At 46.6% G+C, this 23,256-nt stretch overlaps 1 protein-coding gene across 9 annotated transcripts in view, besides 2 other annotated features; it reads left to right on the top strand.

Annotated features, from left to right (window-relative positions):
* The window catches only part of SEPTIN6 (septin 6), a 77,445-nt gene that overhangs the window by 19,132 nt on the left and 35,057 nt on the right, over positions 1-23,256 (top strand). For all 9 annotated transcript variants that reach the window (NM_145802.4, NM_145800.4, XM_011531317.4 and 6 more), the window contains exons 3-4: positions 10,360-10,555; positions 20,997-21,183. In NM_145802.4, coding sequence (NP_665801.1) covers positions 10,360-10,555; positions 20,997-21,183 — 383 coding nt within the window. The remainder of the gene's footprint in view (positions 1-10,359; positions 10,556-20,996; positions 21,184-23,256) is intronic.
* Positions 7,824-7,913: an enhancer, noted in NCBI's record as "active region_29887". NCBI's record gives its function as "activates an Ori minimal core promoter by ATAC-STARR-seq in GM12878 lymphoblastoid cells {active_cell/tissue: GM12878}" and the evidence as "EXISTENCE:reporter gene assay evidence [ECO:0000049][PMID:35858748]".
* Positions 18,507-18,556: an enhancer, noted in NCBI's record as "active region_29886". NCBI's record gives its function as "activates an Ori minimal core promoter by ATAC-STARR-seq in GM12878 lymphoblastoid cells {active_cell/tissue: GM12878}" and the evidence as "EXISTENCE:reporter gene assay evidence [ECO:0000049][PMID:35858748]".

Raw genomic sequence — 23,256 nt, 5'->3', positions numbered from 1 at the left:
CTGTTTTTGTACTGGCTGAAACACTCAAACACTTTTGCTAATTGCCTTTTATTTTTGTATAGAGCGTATGGGGAACTTGTTCATGTAGTAGATCTGAACTACTACTAAATTGGATATTTTACACTTTAATGTATTCAGAAATTCTGTTTTTTCTTTCTTTTCTTTTCTTTCTTTCTTTTTTTTTTTTTTTTTTTTGAGACAGAGTCTTGTGCTGTCACCCAGACTGGAGTGCAGTGGCGTGATATCAGCTCACTGCAACCTCCACCTTCCGGGTTCAAGCGATTCTCCTGCCTCAGCCTCCTGAGTACCTGGGACTATAGGTGCACGCCACACACCCAGCTAATTTCTGTATTTTTAGTAGAGACGGAGTTTCAATTCCTGACCTCAAGTGATCCGCCCACCTCGGCCTCCCAAACTTCTGGGATTACAGGCATGAGCCACCGCGCCCAGCCTAGAAATTCTGTTTTCTCACTAAGGTCATTCATTTTCTTGGGCTCTTTATCATTTTTTTTCCTCTATCCCCAGCATTCTTTTCCAGGTCACTTTTTGTAAGAGAATTGCTACACATTCAAGGACAAGTAGAGAACAACAGATGACGGGCAGTTGTTCCCACAAGCTAGGCTCACTCCCTAGCTAAATGGCTCACTCCCACACACCAACTTTGGTTTTGTTGTCGTTGTTGTTTGAGACAAAGTGTCCCTGTGTCACCCAGGCTGGAGTGCAGAGGCTCACTGCAGCCTCAACCTCCCAGGCTCAAGCATTCCTCCCACCTCAGCCTCCAAAGTAGCTGGGATTACAGGCATGCGACCGGGCTCATTTTTTTCGTAGAGATGAGGTGAGGTCTCACTGTGTTGCCCAGGCTGTTCTTGAACTCCTAAGCTCAAGCGATCCACTTGCCTCAGCCTACCAAAGTGCTGAGATTACAGGCATTAGCCACTATGCCTGGCCCACATCAACTTTGGAACCTATCAGATGAAAATATGTGCTTCAGTTTCAATCCACAGATTTATACTCAAACTTATTTTTAAGATGTGACTTCTACTATGCATGTCCTTGTTCATAGGGAGAGAAATATACCTGGAGGCATTAGTGAATAAAACAGTACATTAAAAAAAAGAAAATATGTGCTTCACAGAATTACACATCGAGGGCCTTAGAGTCCAGATCTAGGCTGTTAATTCTTCAAATGCTGAAAGTCTAACTGATGGTTATGATTAGGTGCTATTTGGAGAAAAATGTAAAATAACTAGAAGTCACAGTAATCGACATCAAGTGCAAAGACTATCACATCCAATGTTAGCACTGCCAAATCTCTGTTTAACTAACAAGAGCTCCAATCTTTGGCTGATGGCCAACTTATTTCACATAATATTTGATTACCACAATATTTAAGCACAAACATATCAGAGTCCCTTGGCATTCTTCCCAGAACTCCATATGACCTGTACTGAAGTTGAGATGAGAAGAGAAATGACAGATCCACCTTAAGCAACCTTTCAACCAGTGCGATTGGGTGGGCTAGTAAAGCTTTAGGAGGGAGGCCATGTGAATTGAAATGGATCTCTGAGGGTGGAAGTGTAGGGTAATTTGATATGTGGAGCACAGGCTCCCCTAGGGCCCAGAGGCAGCCAAGCTCAAGGCAAAGTGGATGGGAGAAATAGTAATCCCCCATCCTCTAGTTTCCACCTAGACATTGTACAGCTATAAATGCTTCCACTTGCACCTGCTGGGATGGAATTGCTCAAGTACCCAGCACAGACCCTCCAAGAGGGGAGGAGTAGGAAGGAGATGCTCTCATCCTCAAGAGTCACAGACTCTCTTTTGCTCCCCACTTGTCAAGTTTCAGGAAATGGCTGCCTCTGTAGCTCCTGTCTTAGACTCACAGGTGCAACCATTGGATAGGCCAGCCCCGACTGGGTTAATTTCACCCCTGTTCCAAAAAACCCTGCAATGCACGCATCCTGCCCTCTTGCTGTGCTCACCACCCTGTCCTTGCTCAGAGAACCCACAATTTGGGCCAAGGTCATAAGTAGCTTAGAGTAGCTCTGAAGCTGCAATGTCAGCCCAGCCATGAGGCTGGATCCAGTCACTGACTTCGCAAAGGGTCCATAGCTTAGCTGCTGAAGGTGATCTTTTATCTTGCAGAGCTTTTTGTGATGATAGTTCATGCCTACTGCCTGTGTACATTTACTCCCTTAATGACTGTTATAACAAGATGCTGTTTGGGCATAGAATATATTTCCCCAAAGTATTTTCTTTTCTTTTCTTTTGAGACACAGTCTTGTTCTATTGCCCAGGCTGGAGTGCTGTGGCGTGATCACAGCTTACTGCAGCCTCAACCTCCCAGGCTCAAGCAATCCTCCCACCTCAGCCTCCTGAGTAGCTGGGACTACAGGCACATGCCACCATGCCTGGCTAATTTTTTTTTAATTAAAATTATTGTGTAGAGGGCCAGGCGCGGTGGCTCACGCCTGTAATCCCAGCACTTTGGGAGGCCGAGGTGGGCGGATCATGAGGTCAGGAGATCGAGACCATCCTGGCTAACACGGTGAAACCCCGTCTCTACTAAAAATACAAAAAAGTTAGCCAGGCGTGGTGGCGGGCGCCTGTAGTCCCAGCTACTCAGGAGGCTGAGGCAGGAGAATGGCGTGAACCCGGGAGGCGGAGCTTACAGTGAGCGGAGGTCACGCCACTGCACTCCAGCCTGGGTGACAGAGTGAGATTCCGTCTCAAAAAAAAAAAAAAACTTATTGTGTAGAGATGAGGTCTCACTATGTTGCCCAGGCTGGTCCCTAACTCCTGGGCTCAAGCAGTCCTCCCTACTTGGCCTCCCAAAGTCCTGGAATTATGGGCATGAGCCACCATACCCAAACGTTTCTTTTTCTTGATAGGGCATTTTTGGTGTAAAATTATGGTAGCACTAGCTTCAATTATTAACAAAGACCTAGGATATTTTTTCACACTATTGTTTATCTTGGTGCTGGGCTGCCGATCATAGGCCTACATCCAGCAAGGTATCCTACATGCATGTGTGCATGTGTGTACATCTGTGCACATATGTGTGTTGCAACTAAGAGAGAGCATTTTTTTTTTTTTTTGAGATGGAGTTTCGCTCTTGTCACCCAGGCTGGAGTGCGATGGCACGATCTTGGCGCACCAAAACCTCCACCTCCCGGGTTCAAGCAATTCTCCTGCCTCAGCCTCCTGAGTAGCTGAGATTATGGGCGTGCACCACCACACCCAGCTAATTTTGTATTTTTAGTAGAGACGGGGTTTCTCCATGTTGGTCAGGCTGGTCTCAAACTCCCAACCTCAGGTGATCTGCCTGCCTCGGCCTCCCAAAATGCTGGGATTGTAGGTGTGAGCCACTGCGTCCGGCCGAGAATTTTTGATAATCCAGAACCTAATTTATAGTAAGGATACCAATAAACGGCACCTGCAATTCTTCTTCTTCTTCTTTTTTTTTTTTTTTTTTTGAGACAGAGTCTCACTCTGTCACCCAGGCTGCAGTGGAGTGGCACTATCTCTGCTAACTGCAACCTCCATCTCCCAGGTTCAAGTGATTCTCATGCTTCAGCCTCCCTAGTACTTGGGATCACAGGTGCGCACCACCATGCCCAGCTGATTTATTTTGTATTTTTAGTAGAGACAGGGTCTCACCATGTTGGCCAGGCTGGTCTCGAACTCTTGACCTCAAGTGATCCGCCCACCTGGACCTCCCAAAATGCTGGGATTATAGGCATGAGCCACCACACCTGGCCTATTATTCTTTTTAGAGGACTAGGCACATGAGTGTGAACATATTATGACTCCTCTCCAATATATTCTCTAGGGTTGACCATAATTACCGAAGAGGTGAGGTTCCTCTTTCTCCCCATAAAAACACATATACTAGTCCCTTAGCTTTGGAAATTTCAAGGATCCCCTGATCCTAGATGCAGTACAGAATGCCTCAGAGGAACCACCAGAGCCAACAGTACAAATATTCTGGGGCCCGTTGCTTTGCACTCCTGGGAACAAGCCCCAAAGAGACTCATCCATCTAAATGCTACAGTAGCAGTCATGGCTGTGAAGAGCACAAAGGGTCATAATGATAATATTTACTTTGAAGCTGCTCAGGATTCCAGGCTCAATTGGGCTCTGTTGAACATGGAAAAAAACAGTCACACAAGAGAAGCAGGATTGAGGCTTGCTGCAGGAGGAGGGAAAGGGCAGCTAGCATTCTATCAAGGCCAAGGATCAATTGTTTCATCCCTTCATATCTGGGAAAGGCAGCTGCTTATTTGTCTAAAACAGGCTGCCAGCAGTGGTGTGCTGGTCAACGTCACAGCCCATCTCAGGAGAAAAACTGTTGTGGTTTGAAGCATCTGCTGATTTTGTTGGTGTCATTACTCCTGCCATGGCTGCTGTTAAGCTACCAACATGACATCACTGCACGTGGGCTTGGGAAGAGATGCAGGAAGCGGACGAGCCGGCTCCAGCACACCACTGCCTGCCAGGCCTCTGCAAGATCAGGAAGGAGAAAGGACAAGGTCACAGAGCCAGGCATAACCTTGTCCCTTTCCATAGGCTTCCTTAGCCAACCGGAGTTCCTGGAATGTTTCCTTTTGGGCACCTCCCTGTTGAACTCAGAGACGTTTCTCTGGGTTCAACATTCAGAACTGGAAGAGACTTTAGGTCCACAAGAACAGGGATTGTGGCTATCTTGTTCATTGCTGTATCTGCAGCTCCTATAACTGTGCCTGGCTCCTGTTAGAGTCTTTGTAAATACTCGTTGAATGACTGAATGAACAAACGTATCACGCCTATGCGTCTCGCTAGAGCACATTGGTTAAAAGCATGGACTCCAGCGTCGGCCTGCCTGGATTCAAATGCTGGCTCTGCCACTTACTAGTTTGTGACCTTGGACTAGTTACTTCTTCCACATTTTATTTTATTATTACTAGTTTTCAAAATAGACCTATTATGCTAAGTGAAGTAACTCAGGAATGGAAAACCGAACATTGTATGTTCTCACTCATAAGTGGGAGCCAAGCTATAAGGATGCAAAGGCATAAGAATAACACAATGGACTTTGGGGACTCAGGGGGAAAGGGCGGGAAGGGGGTGAGGAATAAAAGACTACAAATTGGGTTCAGTGTATACTGCTCAGGAGATGGGTGCATCAAAATCTCACAAATCACCACTAAAGAACTTACTCATATAACCAAATACCACCTGTCCCCAAAAACCTATGGAAATAAAAAATAAAACAGAGACAGGGTCTATGTTGGTCAGGCTGGTCTCGAATTCCTGGCCTCAACTGATCCTCCTGCTTCAACCTCCCAAAGTGCTGGGATTACAGGCATGAGCCACTGCGCCCGGCCCCTCCACATTTTATAGATGAGGAAAGTAAGGTGCAGAGATGCTGAGGAACTGGTGCAAATTTACACAGCTAGTAAGTGGCTTGGTTAACCCATCTATAAATTGAGGACAAATAGTAACATCTTCCTCATGGGCTTGCTGTGAGGAATAAATAAGAAAATATATGTAAAAAACTTAGAGCAGTGTCTGTAAACAATAGCTGTTATTACCAACGCTCTCATTTTATAGAAAAAGAGACTGGGACCCAGAGAGGGGAAAGAGCTCAGTTCATGTCACAAAGTAACTTAGTGATAACCTGGCTAGAAGTCTTTTCTTTTTCTTTCTCTGTCTCTCTCTCTGTCTCTCTCTCTCTCTCTCTCTGTCTTTCCTTTCTTTCTTAGACAGGATCTCGCTCTGTCGCCCAGGCTGGAGTGTGGTGGTGAGATCTCTGCTCACTGCAACCTCCGCCTCCCGGGTTCAAACGATTCTCCACCCTCAGCCTCCTGAGTAGCTGGGATTACAGGAGCCTGCCACCATGCACGGCTAATTTTTGTATTTTTAGTAGAGACGGGATTTCACCATGTTAGCCAGGCTGGTCTCCAACTCCTGACCTCAGGTGATCTACCCGCCTCGACCTCCCAAAGTGCTGGGATTACAGGCCTGAGCCACCGTCCCGCAAGAGCATAGTTTGAAAAAAAACATATTTCGTAGTACTCATATATGTTTTAATTTTTTTTAAAACTATTGTTTCCAGAATACTATCTACATTAAGCAAAGTGAGATGAAATCCTCTTGGCTGGTGGAGCATGCGTTAAAAACCTTACTATCCACTTGGAGGAGCCCTGGGAGGGCTGGGGGAGGAGGAGTGAGAAATTGACCCCTCGGGACTCCTCAGGTTTCCTGCTGGAATCGAATTGCCAAGTCTCCACCTTCCTGCAGGGGTGTGGAATCTGCTGACCTGATCCCAGTTAGGTCACGTGTGCCTCCCCCTCACAACACACTCACACTCAGTACTGGGCCCAGGGCAGCCGTGGGAGGGGCAGCATCCTAGGATCAGGCTGGGTCTGTGCCAGTCATTGACAGAAAGCCTCCCCGACCCCCAGGCTCTACACTGATGGAAAACTGGAACAGGAGCTCTCGATAGCCATAGGATGAGCTCGCTTGATTTTCTGCCCTCTCTACTATTGCATTTATCTCAATTCCCTAGACACCCGGGTGTTCTTTTCTTCCAGACGTTCATTATTTGGCATCTAATTTCCACAGCGCTTTTGTGCCAGCAGGCATTTGGGTGGTCATTTCTCCTGCTGTTCCTCCCAGCTCCCTGTCCTGCCCTGCCCGGCCCCCATTCCTCCAGCTGTGCAAACAGGGTGGGTCCCTCAACGCTGCGGTGCTGCCCCTGAGGCCTTCTGTGTGAACCTTGGGTTAGGCACTCTCGGGGGTACTGGAAGATGGCCCATCTCCTGCTCTCTGAGAATTCTTAGGATCGGGGAGCCAGGGTGCCCACTCTGGGTGCTGGGGAAACAGGACCCCCACTCCCTAGGAGCTACAGGGCATTCGGCAGGGAGCTCATGCAACAGAAGGGTTTTGGGAGTTGGGGGTAAGGATGGTTCTGTTCCATGTGCTCCCTTCTGTTCCATGGGAGGGAGTTGGGGGTAAGGATGTACATGGAAAATTCATCAGGCACATAGGAAGATGAGCTAAACTGTAGCTCAAACCTCAGTGCCCTCGAGAGGGGAGGTGAGTTAGGATGTGGGAGCCACACTGTGTTCCCACCTCCAAGGTGCTGGCCCCGTTTGCAGTTAAGGTGCACCCCAACTTTGGGTGAGGTGGGGTGTGATACATTCCACTGCTTGGCCAAGTCTGCCACCTCCCATGGCAAAGGCCCCACCTCATAAAATTCTTCTTGGGACCCAAATACTTCCTGTTCCTTTAGGGGAGGAAAAAGGGGGCCTCTTCTTCAAGAGTCTTTGCTGCTAATGGATATAGCAGACCCTGGCTTGAAACATGATCTGTGTGAGGAACCATTTCCCCACACTCTGGCAATTTACCAAGTTAGTCAGACCTGGCTATGAAATTGGGCTGGGGGGCCGGGTAGCCAGACTGAATTGAATGTTCTCCTTGTTCTCCCTCCCTCTCCCTGTCTCCCTCCTCTCTCTTATCTCTTCTCTCTCTCTCCCTTCTCTCTGTCCACACACAGAAAACTCTCATCATACACAGATATTTTAAAAGGCACCTCCTGCATTCATAGCTCATTATTTGGGATAAAAGAAGCAGGCTAGACACACCCAGAGTGGGGAGGGGAGATGGAGCATTTTCAGTTCTGCATCATGTAGCTCTAACCGTAGCCCTGAACCACCCTGCAGATGTGTGCTTTTGGTCGCAAGGCGGGGTTTGGCAGGCCACAATTTGCCCAATGCAAACCCAGTCCCGACTGTGAAGAGAAGTCGAGGCTCACATTCCCCCTGGGTTGGGGAGAGGAGAGGGAAAAACAGGGATGATGATAGCGGAATAAATGGGAGAGTAGTCTTTGTCTTCAAAGGGCAGGCCAGAGTAATTAATGATATCCTCTCTTCGAAGTGCCTGCCTCTCTACTGACTCTTTTTTTTTTTTTTGAGATGGAGTCTCACTCTGTCGCCCAGGCTGGAGTGCAGTGGCGCGATCTCAGCTCACTGCAAGCTCCACCTCCTGGGTTCACGCCATTCTCCTGCCTCAGCCTCCCAAGTAGCTGGGACTACAGGCACCCACCATCACGCCTGGCTAATTTTTGTATTTTTTTAGTAGAGACGGGGTTTCACCGTGTTAGCCAGGATGGTCTCGATCTCCTGACCTCGTGATCCACCCACCTCGGCCTCCCAAAGTGCTGGGATTACAGGCGTGAGCCACCGCGCCTGGCCCTCTCTACTGACTCTTTAATTCCTGGTATTCCTGAGTCACTTGGGGTGGGCTGAGGGGTCAAATACAGCCTGGATCTGTAGAGATTATAAGCAGCGCCCAGCCCAGTTTGTGGCCTCATATCAGATTCCTGTTTAGCCCCCTTGTCACCAACTCCTGACTTCTTGTGATGTCCCATTCCCTGAAGTCTTGTTGGCTCCTGACAGTGGCTTGGTATCCCTTGATCTCCCAGGAATAAGCTTCCAAAACCTTCACCAGTCTGCCACAGCCTTTCCCCTACTGGTTTCCCTAGTGTGAAGTTCAAGACTTTTAAAATTCCAACAGTTTGACTTATTAGTATCTCGCAGCCTAGTAGTTAAACAAATAAATGGCTAGTTTGTTTAAAATTTAAGGATAAGGGCCGGGCACGGTGGCTCATGCCTGTAATCCCAGTACTTCGGGAGGCCGAGGCAGGTGGATCACCAGAGGTCAGGAGTTTGAGGCCAGCCTAGCCAACATGGTGAAACCCCATCTCTACTGAAAATACAAAAATTAGCAGGGCATGGTGGCAGGCACCTGTAATCCCAGCTACCTGGGAGACTGAGGCAGGAGAATCACTTGAACCCGGGAGGCAGAGGCTGCAGTGAGCCGAGATTGCGCCACTGCTCTCCAGCCTGGGCAACAGAGCGAGACGCTGTATCAAAAAAAAAAAAAAAAAAGAAGAAGAAGAAGAAGAATTTTTGTGGCCTGCTGGGTCTCCCCACCCCGCCCCTCTTAGTTAAAAACGGTCTCACTGAAAGTTCAACCGTTCAACCAGGCTGGGAGGATAAGCCAGGAGCCTGCACAGTTTTCACCGTGGGGAGGCACATCTGGGGCATCCCCAGAGGGCTGTTTAGGCCTGGCAGGGAGGAGAGGTGGGGACTGGGATGAAAGGATATTTGTTTGACAAGGGACCGCTGTCTTTTTTTTTTTTTTTTTTTTTGAGATGGAGTCTCACTCTCTTGCCCAGGGTGGAGTGCAGTGGCACGATCTCAGCTCACTGCAACCTCTGCCTCCCCTGGTTCAAGTAATTCTCCTGCCTCAGCCTTTCCGTAGCTGGGATTACAGGCGCCTGCCACCATGCCTGGCTAAATTGTGTATGTATATATATATTTTTTGGTAGAGACAGGGTTTCACAATGTTGGCCAGGCTGGTCTCGAATGCCTGACCTCAAGTGATCTGCCTGCTTCAGCCTCCCAAAGTGCTAGGATTACAGGTGTGAGCCACCACGCCTGGCCACTGCTGTCATTTTTTAAAAAAATTTAAAATAGTCCTCTAATTTTTATGACAAAAACTATACATATTCCACTTAGAAAACTTGGGAAATATAAAAAAGCATAAAGAAAGGGATGAAAACCACACATAAGATCACCACTCAGAGATAGCCATTGGTAAGAGTATATTGTATTTCCTCCCAGTCTTTTTTTCTAGGCATAGCTATATCTCTCCATTGCTGCCTATAACATAATTTCTTTTTCTGACTATAAAAGCAACGTATACTTGGCCAGGTGCGGTGGCTAACGCCTATAATCCCAGCACTTTGGGAGGCCGAGGCGGGTGGATCATGAGGTCAGGAGTTTGAGACCAGCCTGGCCAAGATGGTGAAACCCCATCTCTACTAAAAATACAAAAATTAGCTGGGCACGGTGGCGGGTGCCTGTAATCCCAGCTACTCGGGAGGCTGAGGTAGGAGAATCGCTTGAACCCGGGAGATGGAGGTTGCAGTGAGCCGAGGTCATGCCACTGCACTCTAACCTGGGTGACAGAGCAAGACTCTGTCTCAAAAACAAACAAACAAACAAACAACAACAAAAAAAACAATGTATACTCAAGGTAAAATTTCCAAATGACAGAAAAAAGTTGGAAGAATAAAATGAAAATTACCTCAATTCTACTATCTGAGATGACTACTACTGATCCGTCTGTATAGTTCCTTTCAGTCTTTTTCATTTAACTGACATCATATAGTTCATCTGCTTCTGCTTTTTGCTTTATGTTTTATCATGTTCATTTTCCCGTGTCAACAAATGTGTATATGAAACATGATGTGTAAGGGCTGAATAGTCACTATGTGAACAGACCATAATTTATCCTTTTGCTTTTCAGGAGAGACAGGTTTGGGCAAGTCCACCCTCATGGACACCCTGTTCAACACCAAATTCGAAGGGGAGCCAGCCACCCACACACAGCCGGGTGTCCAGCTCCAGTCTAATACCTATGACCTCCAAGAGAGCAACGTGAGGCTAAAGCTCACGATCGTTAGCACAGTTGGCTTTGGGGACCAGATCAACAAAGAGGACAGGTAAAGAAGGCGGTGGGGTGGGGTAGGGTGGGGAGGTTGGTAGAGGGCCGCAGAGAGGAGCTCACCACAGAGATCTTGAAGACAGCACAGATATCGGGCCCAAGCCTGTCCTCCCAGAATGGTGTGGGCAGCAGCAGGTACCTCCCAAGCATAGGCCCTGTCTGGTGTCCCTGTCTACAGCAACTGTTCCACTCCACTCACTTTGCCAAAAGAAGGGTGTCTTTCTAGTATACATGGGTCAGGTCTCAATTCCATGCAGCAAACATTTATTGAGCTCCTACCTTGCGCCAGGTACTGTCGAGCTCTGACCATCTAAAAAGGAATGGCTTAGTCTCTGCCCTTGAGGGACTCATAGGCAAAACCGGTTTTAAGCAAATAATTTCCATAGAGTATAAGATGTTCTGTAAAGGACAGGGTACAAAGAGATAAAGGACAAGTTACAATGAGAACACAAAGGCGAGAACCATCAATTCCACGTAGGGAGGTCAGGGAAGCCTTCACAAAGGATGTGCCTCCTGAGCTGACTCTTGAAGGACGAACTGTTTTGCCAGACAGACAAGGGAATGGAGAGAGGGGCATCTCAGGCAGAAGTAACTGCCTGTATAAAGGCAAAGTGATGTGTAGGATTCTGGTATGTTCTAGGGAAGTGTAGCTTGCTCTCTTTGGCTAGACAGAGGCAGAGTCACTGTGAAGCTAATGAAGATTGCACAGGCCCCTTCCAAAGCTCTGTAACTAATGTTCAATCACAATGTCGTATTATTTTCCTCAGAGAGTCTTTCAGATTGCATAAGCCTAAGGGCTGGAAAAACCTGGTTCTGCCCCTGGGCTAACACTTGGAGTAAGCTTGGGGAAAAAACGGTGAGATGAGGCTGAAGAGGTAAGCAGGTGCCAGATCACAGAAGGATTTATGATCAAGGCAAGAGGTAAAATAGGTGCTGAGATAGGGAAGAGGAGACAGATTTGCTAAATACTGAGTAGGTAAATATCAACAGGACTTGGTAGGCACTTGGTGTGGGGTTGTGAAGGCAAAAGAAAAATCTAGAATGAGGCCCAAATTTCCAGCTTTGGAGAGTGGACACATGGTGATGGCATTCCGTAAGAGAACCAGGGTTCAAAATAATCAGCTCTGTTTTGGACATGTCAAGTTTGATCTGTCTGAGGAATACTGAGATACGCGATGACCTTCAGCAGTAGGCAGTTGAACACACAGAATTGGAGATGAGAAGAGGCTAGAAATAGATTGGGTTATCAAGGTAGAGGTGATATGTTCCAACCATGGACACATGTAAAATCACCCAGGGATCAGAGTAGAGTAAGAAGAACACTGGGCTAAAGACAAAAACCTCAGGATGCTAAGTCAATAGATGGAGGAAAAGACATCCTGAAAAGGGACTGAACAGGAATAAGCTGACAGGTAGGAGGGGGGACAGGAAAGATGTTGGGGGGCCAGGCAAGGTGGCTCACGCCTGTAATCCCAGCACTTTGGGAGGCCGAGGCGGGCAGATCACTTGAAGTCAGGAATTCAAGACCAGCCTGGCCAACATCATGAAACCCCGTCTCTACTAAAAATACAAAAATTAGGCGGGTGTGATGGCGGGTGCCTGTAATTCCAGCTAGTCAGGTGGCTGAGGCGGGAGAATCACTTGAATCCGGGAGGCAGGGTTGCAGTGAGCTGAGATTGCGCCACTGTACTCCAGCCTGGGCGGCAGAGCAAGACTCTGTCTCAAAACAAAACAGAAAGATGTAGGGGGTTGAGAATGTGTGTGAGTGAAGACTAGGTGAGGCTCAGAGATGGGAATGTGATGAGGGGTGGGGTCAGGTACCATCTGCATTTAACCAGAAGTCACATGGTTATCACATGTGCTCATTTCAGAAAGGGCCATTCATCATTTTAAGCAGAGGGTCTTCTCATTCTTTCAGGATTCTCTTGCTTCTTAGGTGAACTTTATGTCAAATTCTTTTATTTCCCCCTTAAAGCTACAACAGCCACACTCACTTCCTTATAATGAATAAATATATGTAGCTTCTTTTTATTTTATTTTATTTTTTTTGAGACGGAGTCTCGCTCTGTTGCCCAGGCTGGAGCGCAGTGGTGTGATCTCAGCTCACTGCAAGCTCCGCCTCCTGGGTTCACGCCATTCTCCTGCCTCAGCCTCCCGAGTAGCTGGGACTACAGGCTCGTGCCACCACACCCAGCTAATTTTTTTTTTTTGTATTTTTAGTAGAGATGGGGTTTCACTGTGTTAGCCATGTTGGTCTCAATCTCCTGACCTCATAATCCACCCTCCTTGACCTCCCAAAGTGCTAGGATTACAGGTGTGAGCCACCGTGCCCAGCCAAATATATATAGCTTCTTAATAATGGAACTGAGTTCTGTTTTGCATTTGAAATTCTAGAAAAAAGACATCTCTGCTTTTTTTTTTTTTTTTTTTTTTTTTTTGAGATGGAGTCACACTCTGTCACCCAGGCTGAAGTGCAGTGGCACAATCTCAGCTCACTACAACCTCCGCCTCCTGGGTTCAAGTGATTCTCCTGCCTCAGCCTCCCGAGAGTAGGTGGAATTAGTCACGCACCACCACACCCTGCTAATTTTTCTGTATTTTTAGTAGAGATGGGGTTTCACCATGTTGACCAGGCTGGTCTCGAACTCCTGACCTCAAGTGATCCCCCCCGCTCACCCCCGCCTTGGCTTCCTAAATTGCTGGGATTACAGGCATGAGCCACTGTGCCTGGCCACCTCTGCTTTTTATAGGCATGCTTATTGTGCTAATCTTGTTTGGTTGAGAATAAATTAAACTTTGGAGAAAGGATATTTGGGCCACAATATGAGTGCTTAATCTCAGCTGCAGATTGCTCAGAAACTTCAATTACATTTCTTACAGTTCTTTCAGTTACATACATTCAACATATCTAACATTGGACAATGCCTTGATAATAATGGCTTGGGAGGACTGAACAGATACTGCGCCTCAGAGGCAAATCTACTTCCGTTATAGTTTTAAGATATCCCTATTGTTTCTTCCCGATTATAAATGTGATACATACTTATAATAAATCAAATAAGTAGAAATGAAAAGCCTCCTTGAAATTGCACTGAGGAGCAGGGGTGGAGTAAGCTCCAGGGATCTGTAATAAAAAGCAGTGTTTTCTTCATGCTGTTAGGGCCATGTTAGCATAGATATGTCAGTGAAGCATCATTGAAACAAGGCATTAGAATATCCCGCTTTACAAGGGCTCATGCATAAACTAGGAAGAGGAATGACTAAGGCCGGATACTGCGGAAAGCTACCATTTAAAGGATGCTGGAGGCAGGGCACAGTGGCTGAAGCCTGTAATTCCAGCACTTTGGAAGGCCAAGGTGGGTGGATCACTTGAGGCCAGGAGTTCAAGACCAGCCTGGCCAACATGGTGAAACCCCCGTCTCTACTAAAAATACAAAAAATTAGCTGGGCATGGTGGTATGTGCCTGTAATCCCAGCTACTCGGGAGGCTGAGGCACAAGAATTGCTTGAACCCGGAAGGTGGCGGTTGCAGTGAGCTGAGATCGCGCCATGGCACTCCAGCCTAGACAACAGAGTGAGACTCCATCTCAAAAAATAAAAATAAAAAAGGATGCTGGAGAAAAGGGGATTTAAGGGAGAGACTGAGAAGGACAAGCTGGAGAGGGGAGTGCTTAGGAACCTAGGCTTTGGTCTCAGACCTGGGTTCAAATTTCATCTTGCTGTCTTTTTAGCCCAGGGATCTTGAACAAGGTACTTAAATTTTCTATGCCTCAGTTTTCTCATCTGTAAAATGGGGATGATAATGATGGATGATAATAATAATACTACCTACCTTAGAGAGTTGTGGTGAAGCACATTTGACATGTGTGGAATATGAAATGCTTAAACACCTGGCACAGAGTAACTGCCTCATAAACTGAAGATATTATGATCATGATTTTTATTGATAGAAGAATCAAGGAACAGCTAAATCATGTAGTATATGGGAAGGAATGATACATGGTATCCAGGAAGACGAGAACTGCAAAATATTCTTTGGGTTTGGTGATATGAAGGTCAGTAATACATTTCAGAATAATAATTCGAGGGGAACTGTGGGTGGAAGCCAGATTACCGTGATTGCTGAGTGAATGGAAAGTAAGCATGTAAAGGCATCAGAAGAGCAAAAAGAGCAATGGAACAGAAAAGTCAGTCTAAGACCAGATTCCTGCTCATATGGAAATTTAGCATATGTAAGTCAGCAGGGGAAGAATGGACTATTCAGGAGATGATGCTGGGAAAATAGGCCATCTATTTAGGAAAAAAATAAAACGAGACCCTCTCACACAAACACCATTCACAAAAATAGATTCCCATTGGACTAAAAACAGATTTCTAAAAATATAAGGAGAAAACATCAGAGAATATTTTTATAACTTTGGGGGTAGAGAAGGCTTTTCCAATCATGACACAAAATTCAAAAGTCATAGAAGAAAAGACTGATGGATTTAAATTCATTAAAATAAAAAACCCTTTTGTATTGAAAGATACCATAAACAAAAGTACAAACAAGCTACAGATGGGGAGAAGATATTTGCTGCCTAAATAACAGACAAAGGATTCTTCTAAAATGGAAAAAGAGCTTCTACAATTCAATGAGAAATAAACAAATAATTTACAGAAGGGGAAATACTTATGTACAATCAACATATGAAATGATGGTCATTCAACTTCCCCAGTAATTAAAGAAATGCAAAATGAAACAAATATTTTTTATCCATCAGATCTGCAAAAACAAAAGGATGGTATAATATCCACTAACACGAGGTAATTTCATTCACGTTGATGGGACTGTAAATTGATATAGACTTCTTGGAGGGCAAATTTGGCAGTATCTATTAAAATTTTAAATGTGAATAATTTATGACCCAGCAGTTCCACCTTTTAAGTATACAGCCTAGAGAAACAGTTGCACATGCTCCTGAGAAGCATAGAGAAAGCATGTTCACTGTAGCTTTGGTTATTGAATGAAAAACAATTTAAACAGTCTAAATTTCTACCAACAGAGCAATTAAATAAACTGTGGAATTACCATACCATGGAATTGTGTTTGGCAGTTTAATAGAATGAGGTAGATCGATATATACTCACATGGCTAGATCTCAGGATATGTTGTTAAGTGAAAAAAAGAAGTTGCAGAATGATCACGATGCGGTGTCTGTAAATCTGCCCCCCTCCCTCCAATAAAACCACAAATATTTCTCTCTATTTATGTGCGTAGATGCATAGAAAAAGGTCTGGAAAGATAATCAGCAAACTGAAAATAGAGGTTATCTGTGAGGAAGGAAGAATCGGTATTCTTTTTTATTTTTTTGAGACGGACTTTCGCACTGTTGCCCAGACGGGAGTGCAGTGGCGCTATCTCGGCTTACTGCAAGCTCCGCCTCCCGGGTTCACGCCATTCTCCTGCCTCAGCCGCCCGAGTAGCTGGGACTACAGGCGCCCACCACCACGCCCGGCTAATTTTTTTTGTATTTTTAGTAGAGACGGGGTTTCACCGTGTTAGCCAGGATGGTCTTGATTTCCTGACCTCATGATCCGCCTGCCTCGGCCTCCCAAAGTGCTGGGATTACAGGCGTGAGCCACCGCACCCGGTCGAGAATAGGTGTTCTTGCATAAATAAATTTAGGTTAAGCGCGGTGGCTCTTACCTCTAATCCCAACACTTTGTGGGGCCAAGGTAGAAGGATCACTTGAGCCCAAAAGTTCAGGACCAGCCTGGATAACATAAAGAGACCCCGTCTCTACACAAAAATAAAAAATTAGCCAGGTGTGGTGGTGTGTGCCTGTAGTCCCAGATACTCAGAAGGCTGAGGCAGGAGAATCGCTTGAGCTCATGAGTTCGAGGTCACAGTGAGCTATGATCATGCCATTGTTCTCCAGCATGGGCAATAGAGCGAGGCCTCGTCTCTAAAAAATAGATAAAAAAGAAAGCTTGTCTGAGCTGGGAGAAATACACAAGGCCATGTCTAGAGGGGGACAAGGAGGTCAGGGGCAACTCTTGAGGATGGGAGAGATGATGAGGGCTTGAACAGGAAGAGAAGCTTTGAGGATAGAGAGGAGGGGCAGATTTGAGAGAATTGACAAGACTGAGAACCAAGTTGCCGTGGAAACCTAGTCCACTTTATAAACTTAAATGTCTACTATGTGACAAGTACAGTGTGAAGTGTCAGAGATACTAAGAAATAAGGCACAGTTTTTTTGTTTTGTTTTTTTTTTTTTTGAGACGGAATCTCACTCCGTTGCCCAGGCTGGAGTGCAGTGGTGCGATCTCGGCTCACTGCAACCTCCGCCTCCCAGGTTCAAGCAATTCTCCTGCCTCAGCCTCCCGAGTAGCTGGGACTACAGGTGCCTACCACCATGCCTGGCTAATTTTTGTATTTTTAGTAGAGACGGGGTTTCACTGTGTTGGCAGGGCTGGTCTCGAACTCCTGACCTCAGGTAATCCGCCTGCCTCGGCCTCCCAAAGTGCTGAGATTATGGGTGTGAGCCACCCCACCTGGCCTCCACATTTTCACATTTTCTTTATTTTATTTTATTTATTTAATTATTTTTTGAGACGGAGTCTCACTCTGTCGCCCAGGCTGGAGTGCAGTGCCTCAATCTTGGCTCACCGCAACCTCCGCCTCCTCGGTTCAAGCAATTCTCCTGCCTCAGCCTTCTGAGTAGCTGGGATTACAGGCGCACGCCACCATGCCCAGCTAATTATTATATTTTTAGTAGAGACGGGGTTTCACCCTGTTGATCAGGCTGGTCTCGAACTCCTGACCTCGTGATCCGCCCACCTTGGTCTCCCAAAGTGCTGGGATTACAGGCGTGAGCCACTGCGCCTGGCCTCCACATTTTCTTTATCCGGTCATCAGTTGATGGACATTTGGGTTGTTTCCACCTTTGGGCTACTGTGAATAATTTACTCAAGCTGGGTTCACCAAGTCCCACCTCCCTGGCCGTCTTCCCATTGCTCAAACCTGTCAGACTGGTTTCTGCCTCAGAACCATCCTCACATTTATTATTCCCACTGCCTGGAATGCTCTTCACCCAGATCTCTCCATGGCTCTGTCATCCTCATCCTTGCGGCTCAAATGTCACACCCTTAGAGAAGCCTTCCCTGATCACTGTATTTAAAGTAGTTGAACCCTCAATCACATGTATATCCCATTATCCTATTGGAGTATCTTCATAGTACATATCATTATCCGAAATGAATAAGTATTATTGTCTAGACCAGGGGTTATTTTGTGCCATTGGCCCCGTTAGCAATCTAGTGAGGCCTATGGGCTCATTCTCAAAATAATGTTTTTAAATGCCTAAAATATACCAAGTATACTAAAAATACAGTTACTAAAATATTTAAAAATTGTGACTTAGCAATCCATGTGCTTCTCTATCAATTCCAGAAGTAATAATATCTATATGCAGGCTTAATAATTACCAGAATTTGAATGTTGTAATGAGTATAAATGCTATTTTGAGCTATTTACAACAACTGGAATGGGAAATGATGATATCAGTGATTTCTATTGGTTATGAAATCACAGGTACTGCTAACATTACTATAGATTGTTACCTATGTCTGCAGCTGAAGAAACTGCTAAACTTCAGTTAGAGATTAGTGAAAAAGATGTATTTTTTTCCTATCTAAGTTCACAGATCCTCTGAATTCTATTCACAGAACCTAGGAGGTCCATGAACCCTGTGTTAAGAACGGCTGTCTTGAAATGTCAAAGATTATCAGTAGTGATGGGGAGGGATGGAGTCTGTTGGAGCTGGTTTTGGTCGAAAATGGAGGAGATGAGGAGATCACAGTGAGCGAGGGAATCAAGAGCTAGAAGAAAGCTGCCCTCTCTGCCCTTCCATGGGACTTGGGTGTGGAGATGAAGAAATTTCCAGTTGAGAAGGATATGAGAAAAGCAGCATCTCTGAAGGATAGTCAGGTGTCACTTAGAGGAAGGAAGCAGTTTGGGAGGAGGTAGCCTATAAGAGTAAAGGATTTTGTTTACCACCCACTGGAGTCCAGTGAGCAGCACAACAGAGTGTGGGAGAGAGGTGGCCACCGTGGGAAGATGAGTCACTGGGGCCTGGGGGTGGAGGGAATGCAGAGCAGTAGCGGAAACTTTACTATGTTCCAGACAGCAGGCTAGACGTGGAGGATACAGAGATGAATAAGACGAAGATAAGCCACCCATTTAGGATTCGTCTACACCAAATCCTGGTGGCTGATTGGCTGGTTTGGCTGGTCTGATCCATGTACATCTTGAGAGCTTCCGAGAGCCAGAGGCAATTGCAGTAAGACAGGCACAGGGTATCACTACAGATTTCGGGGTGTGTGGGGGAGCTAAAAAATGCACTTTTTAGCTTTATTTTCTTTCCTCTGATTCCTTCTGCAAAGCAAAAAATGAAGTAAAAAAAAATTACGTAATTGAGAAAAAAAATGAAGCAGTGCCATCATCAACTATTTCAAATCAGCAAAACATCCAAAAATTAATTAAATAAGCCTAGGGGATACATTCCCCACCCTCACTCCAAATTCGTCAGGAACCTTCTAAGGATCTTTGCAACCAAGAGATTCTTTGATGCGATTACCCTTCGGAACAGTGGCTCGGAGGGATCAAAGGAATAAAGAAAGGACTATGTTTTTAGAGTTTTCTCTGGGGCTTGGGAGGCAGAGGTTGCAGTGAGTGGAGATCGCACCACTGCACTCCTGCCCGGGCAACAGAGCGAAACTCCATCTTAAAAAAAAAGATTTTTCTCTGGGGCTCCAGAGATAGCCTGCACCTGGATCTCAGCTCTGGCTGCAGCTCTCAGAATCTAGGATCCTGTGATTCTTTCTTAAAAGGCTATTTTCCCCTTCTCTACTAGGGGGATCTTTCAGAAAGGCTCAGCCTGGGAGCTGCTGCAGGTGGGAGGCATTGGCTGGGCTCAGCTCCTCCTTTGATCATCATGTTCCCTTCTGGCAGCGGTATCTGAAAACTCCCTGCCCTGGGCCCACATGACAAGCCTCTTCTAGCCTGAAGGGAGGCACCCCCTCAGCCAGAGAGGCAGCAGACAGACAGGGGAGATGAGAACAAGAGGCAGAGCTGAGCTAAGCTGACCTAGTTAGAGCAGAAAGAGGCCGTAGGGGTGACGGGGATGACGTGGGAGGGGACTGGGACAGAGGGAGAGGGAAGTTTCCCAGGGAGGCCCAGGAAAGAGAGACATAGAGGGCTGACTGTTGTTTAAGAAGCCTTGGCAAGACTTGGGGGCCACCTAGAGGAGCCGCGTGTGGAGACTCAGTGAGCTGGCGGGCCTGTGTCCATGTGTGCAGGGTGTGCGGAGGGGAGTAGCTTTACCAGATTTTGCCTGAATACTTTGTTTGTTTGTTTGTTTGTTTTTGGAGATGGGGTCTCACTCTGTTGCCCAGGCTGGAGTGCAGTGGCATGATCTCCACTCACTGCAACCTCTGCCTTCCGGGTTCAAGCGATTCTCCTGCCTCAGCCTCCTGAGTAGCTGGGATTACAGGCATGAGCTACCACAGCTGGCTAATTTTTGTATTTTTAGTAGAGACGAAGTTTTGCCGTGTTGCCCAGGCTGGTCTCGAATCCTGAGCTCAGAAGATCCGCCCGTCTCAGCCTCCCAAAGTGCTGGGATTACGAGCCATGATCCACTGTGCCTGGCCTGAATACTTAAAGTCACCACCTTGGCAGAAATGAGAATCAGAAAAATATCTTGACCTTGGGGGAGCCAAGTGTGGAGCTCCGCTAAACCTAGCGAGAATGAGCAAAAGCCCTGAATGTTCTCACAAGATTGCCCAGCAGTGGGCCAAAGAGAGGTCTTGTTACCCACTGTGTACCCAGCTCTCATCTAGGCACTGTAGGGCGAGATAAAGGGAGCAAAGACATGAGCCCAGCTTGGAGGAAAATCAGTCCCTCTACAGATACAGCCAGTGGGCTCCATGCTGTGTTGGGGCCCCCCGAGGGACAGACAAGTGCCCTTCACAGGCCCTGCTCTTTAGGAAGGCACAATCTATTTGAGAGAATCCTTGTGAAGCAACAATAAGTAATTGAATGCCATTTCTTGTTATGCCCCTGACTCGCAGAAGGGATTTCTGGCATAAGTGGGGAAGGCCGTAGGAAGGAGGAGGACATTAAGCTGAGCCCTGAGGTCTGGGAGGGCAGAATTGGGATGAGGAGAGAGAAAGGGGCATTCTAGTGAAGGTGCACAGATGGGCATAAGTTTGGCTCATGTAGGGACCAAGAAGGTGGCCAGGCTGACAAGATTGGAGGCCCACTGAAGGGAGATGGAGAAATGCAGTTGGATGGGAGAGAGTCAAGATTACAGAGGGCATTTGAAACTTCCAAAAAGGACGGTGTCAAAATCCAAGTTTTTGACGGGATCCGCCTCTGTCCCTGCTCTCCCTTTTAGCTACAAGCCTATCGTGGAATTCATCGATGCACAATTCGAGGCCTACCTGCAGGAAGAGCTAAAGATCCGAAGAGTGCTACACACCTACCATGACTCCCGAATCCATGTCTGCTTGTATTTCATTGCCCCCACGGGTCATTCCCTGAAGTCTCTGGACCTAGTGACTATGAAGAAGCTGGACAGTAAGGTATAGGAGGCAGGGGCGGGGGCGCTGGGGGCTCACTCTTACTGATCTCTTGTGCAAAGTAGATGTGGGATTCCGGGAGAGATTTGTGGCATCCTCATCCTCTCCCTCATTCCCTGTCCCTCCATAAAGATGGTGTTACGGATCCAGCACCAGCGTCGTAAGCTTTGTGATCTGTTTTCCCAGCACTAGGGATGGGCTTGCCCTGAGCTGTCTTTCTGCCCTGATCCCTCTTGGGGACTAGCAAGATGGCTCCCTGGGTCTAGGGGCAAAGGCTTTGGCAATGGAAAGCTGTTTTTTTCTTTGTCCGAATGTTAACTGGCTAGAATCAAACATGCAAACTTGACTTTGAAAGTTATTCTTGCTATCAATAATTACTTTTATGATTGCAGTTAACATTAAAACCCTCATTATATGCCAGCCCCGTGAAGTACACATTATTGTTATCTTCATTTTACAGAAGAGAAAACTGAGGCTCTCAGAGGTTAAGTGACTTGCTCATTGTCATATTGCTAGCTACTGGTAGAGTGCAGATTCTGTGACACTCAGATCTGTGACCCCATGTTATAATGCTTCCATGCCCGAGAAAGATGGCTGTGGGAATCAGGCGTTGTCTTCCTTTAAGAAAAACTTGGCTGGGTGCGGTGGCTCACACCTGTAATCCCAGCACTTTGGGAGGCCAAGATAGGCGGGTCATCTGAGGTCAGGAGTTCGAGACCAGCCTGGCCAACATGGCGAAATCCCGTCTCTACTAAAAATACAAAAATTAACTGGGCATGGTGGTGCGCATTTATAATCCCAGCTATTGGGGAGGCTCAAGCAGGAGAATCGCTTGAACCTGGAAGCGGAGGTTGCAGTGAGCTGGAATCATTCCACTGCACTCCAGCCTGGGCGACACAGCCAGACTCCGTATCAAAAAAATAATCGAATTCACATGCAGCCATTTAGTAGCACATCCACTCTAAGACTGAATTTCAGCTCTCATCAGAATAGGAGCAGTTTTTCATTTTTTGCAGCAATAGGCTCATGGCCCATGAATAAAAGGCTGCTCTTGAAATGTGGCCATGCCCTGCATGTCCTGTATAGGGGCATTGGTGAGCCACATGGCTGCAGGCCTGGTGGATGGGCCGAGTTAAGCCTTTGAGATAGATAGATACATATATATTTATTTATTTATTTATTTTTGAGACGGACTTTCACTCTTGTTGCCCAGACTGGAGTGCAATGGCACGATCTTGGCTCACCGCAACCTCCGCCTCCTGGGTTCAAGCAATTCTCCTGCCTCAGCCTCCCGAGTAGCTGGGATTATAGGCATGCACTACCATGCCTGGATACTTTTTATTTTTAGTAGAGACGGGGTTTCACCATGTTGGCCAAGCTGGTCTCGAACTCGCAACCTCAGGTGATCTGCCCACCTTGGCCTCCCAAAGTGCTTGGATTAGCAGCATGAGCCACTGCCCCTGGCCTGATATATGTTTATAGTGTGTCAATGGGGACTTGGCGAAAGTGCCAAGGAGAATAGGCTCTGCCTGCTGTTTCATCTTGGCAAGGGCTTTGACCCTTCTGCCCCTGAAAGACTTCAAGGGAGGTGCCTCCACGGTTCAGTCTTTCCTTGACCCAGCGGCTGTGTGATATCAGCCTTCAGAGGCACTCCTAAGCCAAAGCGCAGAGGAAGCAGGATTTTTCTTCCACGTCTGGAGCTCCCAGACTCCCCTTTTAGAGTCCGGGGCCTGAGTGCCACCTATGCCCCTCCCCCACCCCCCGTTGGAGTCTACTGGCAGGAATGATTATGCTCTCCATGTCAACCTGAACTTAGTGTGCTCTGTCTCACAAACACATGTGCATTTCAAGTTTCTTTACCTTCTGACAGTAAAAGCCTTGTCCCTTCTTGGAGGAATTTCAAGGATTAGGGTTCAGGTGGATTGAACTTTTGGTTGGGATTAGTTCTTTCTCCTGATGCCTGAAATTGGGCATTTATACTTGCTTTTCTTACTCAGAAATTAATCATGAGACTCAGGCAGTATAATTCTTTTTGCATAAGTCTCAGATCAAATTGTAACTATAGGTTCTTCCTCA

The sequence above is a fragment of the Homo sapiens genome, chromosome X (assembly GCF_000001405.40).
Source record: "Homo sapiens chromosome X, GRCh38.p14 Primary Assembly".
Classification (NCBI taxonomy): domain Eukaryota; kingdom Metazoa; phylum Chordata; class Mammalia; order Primates; family Hominidae; genus Homo; species Homo sapiens.
This window is presented reverse-complemented; position numbering and strand designations above follow the sequence as displayed.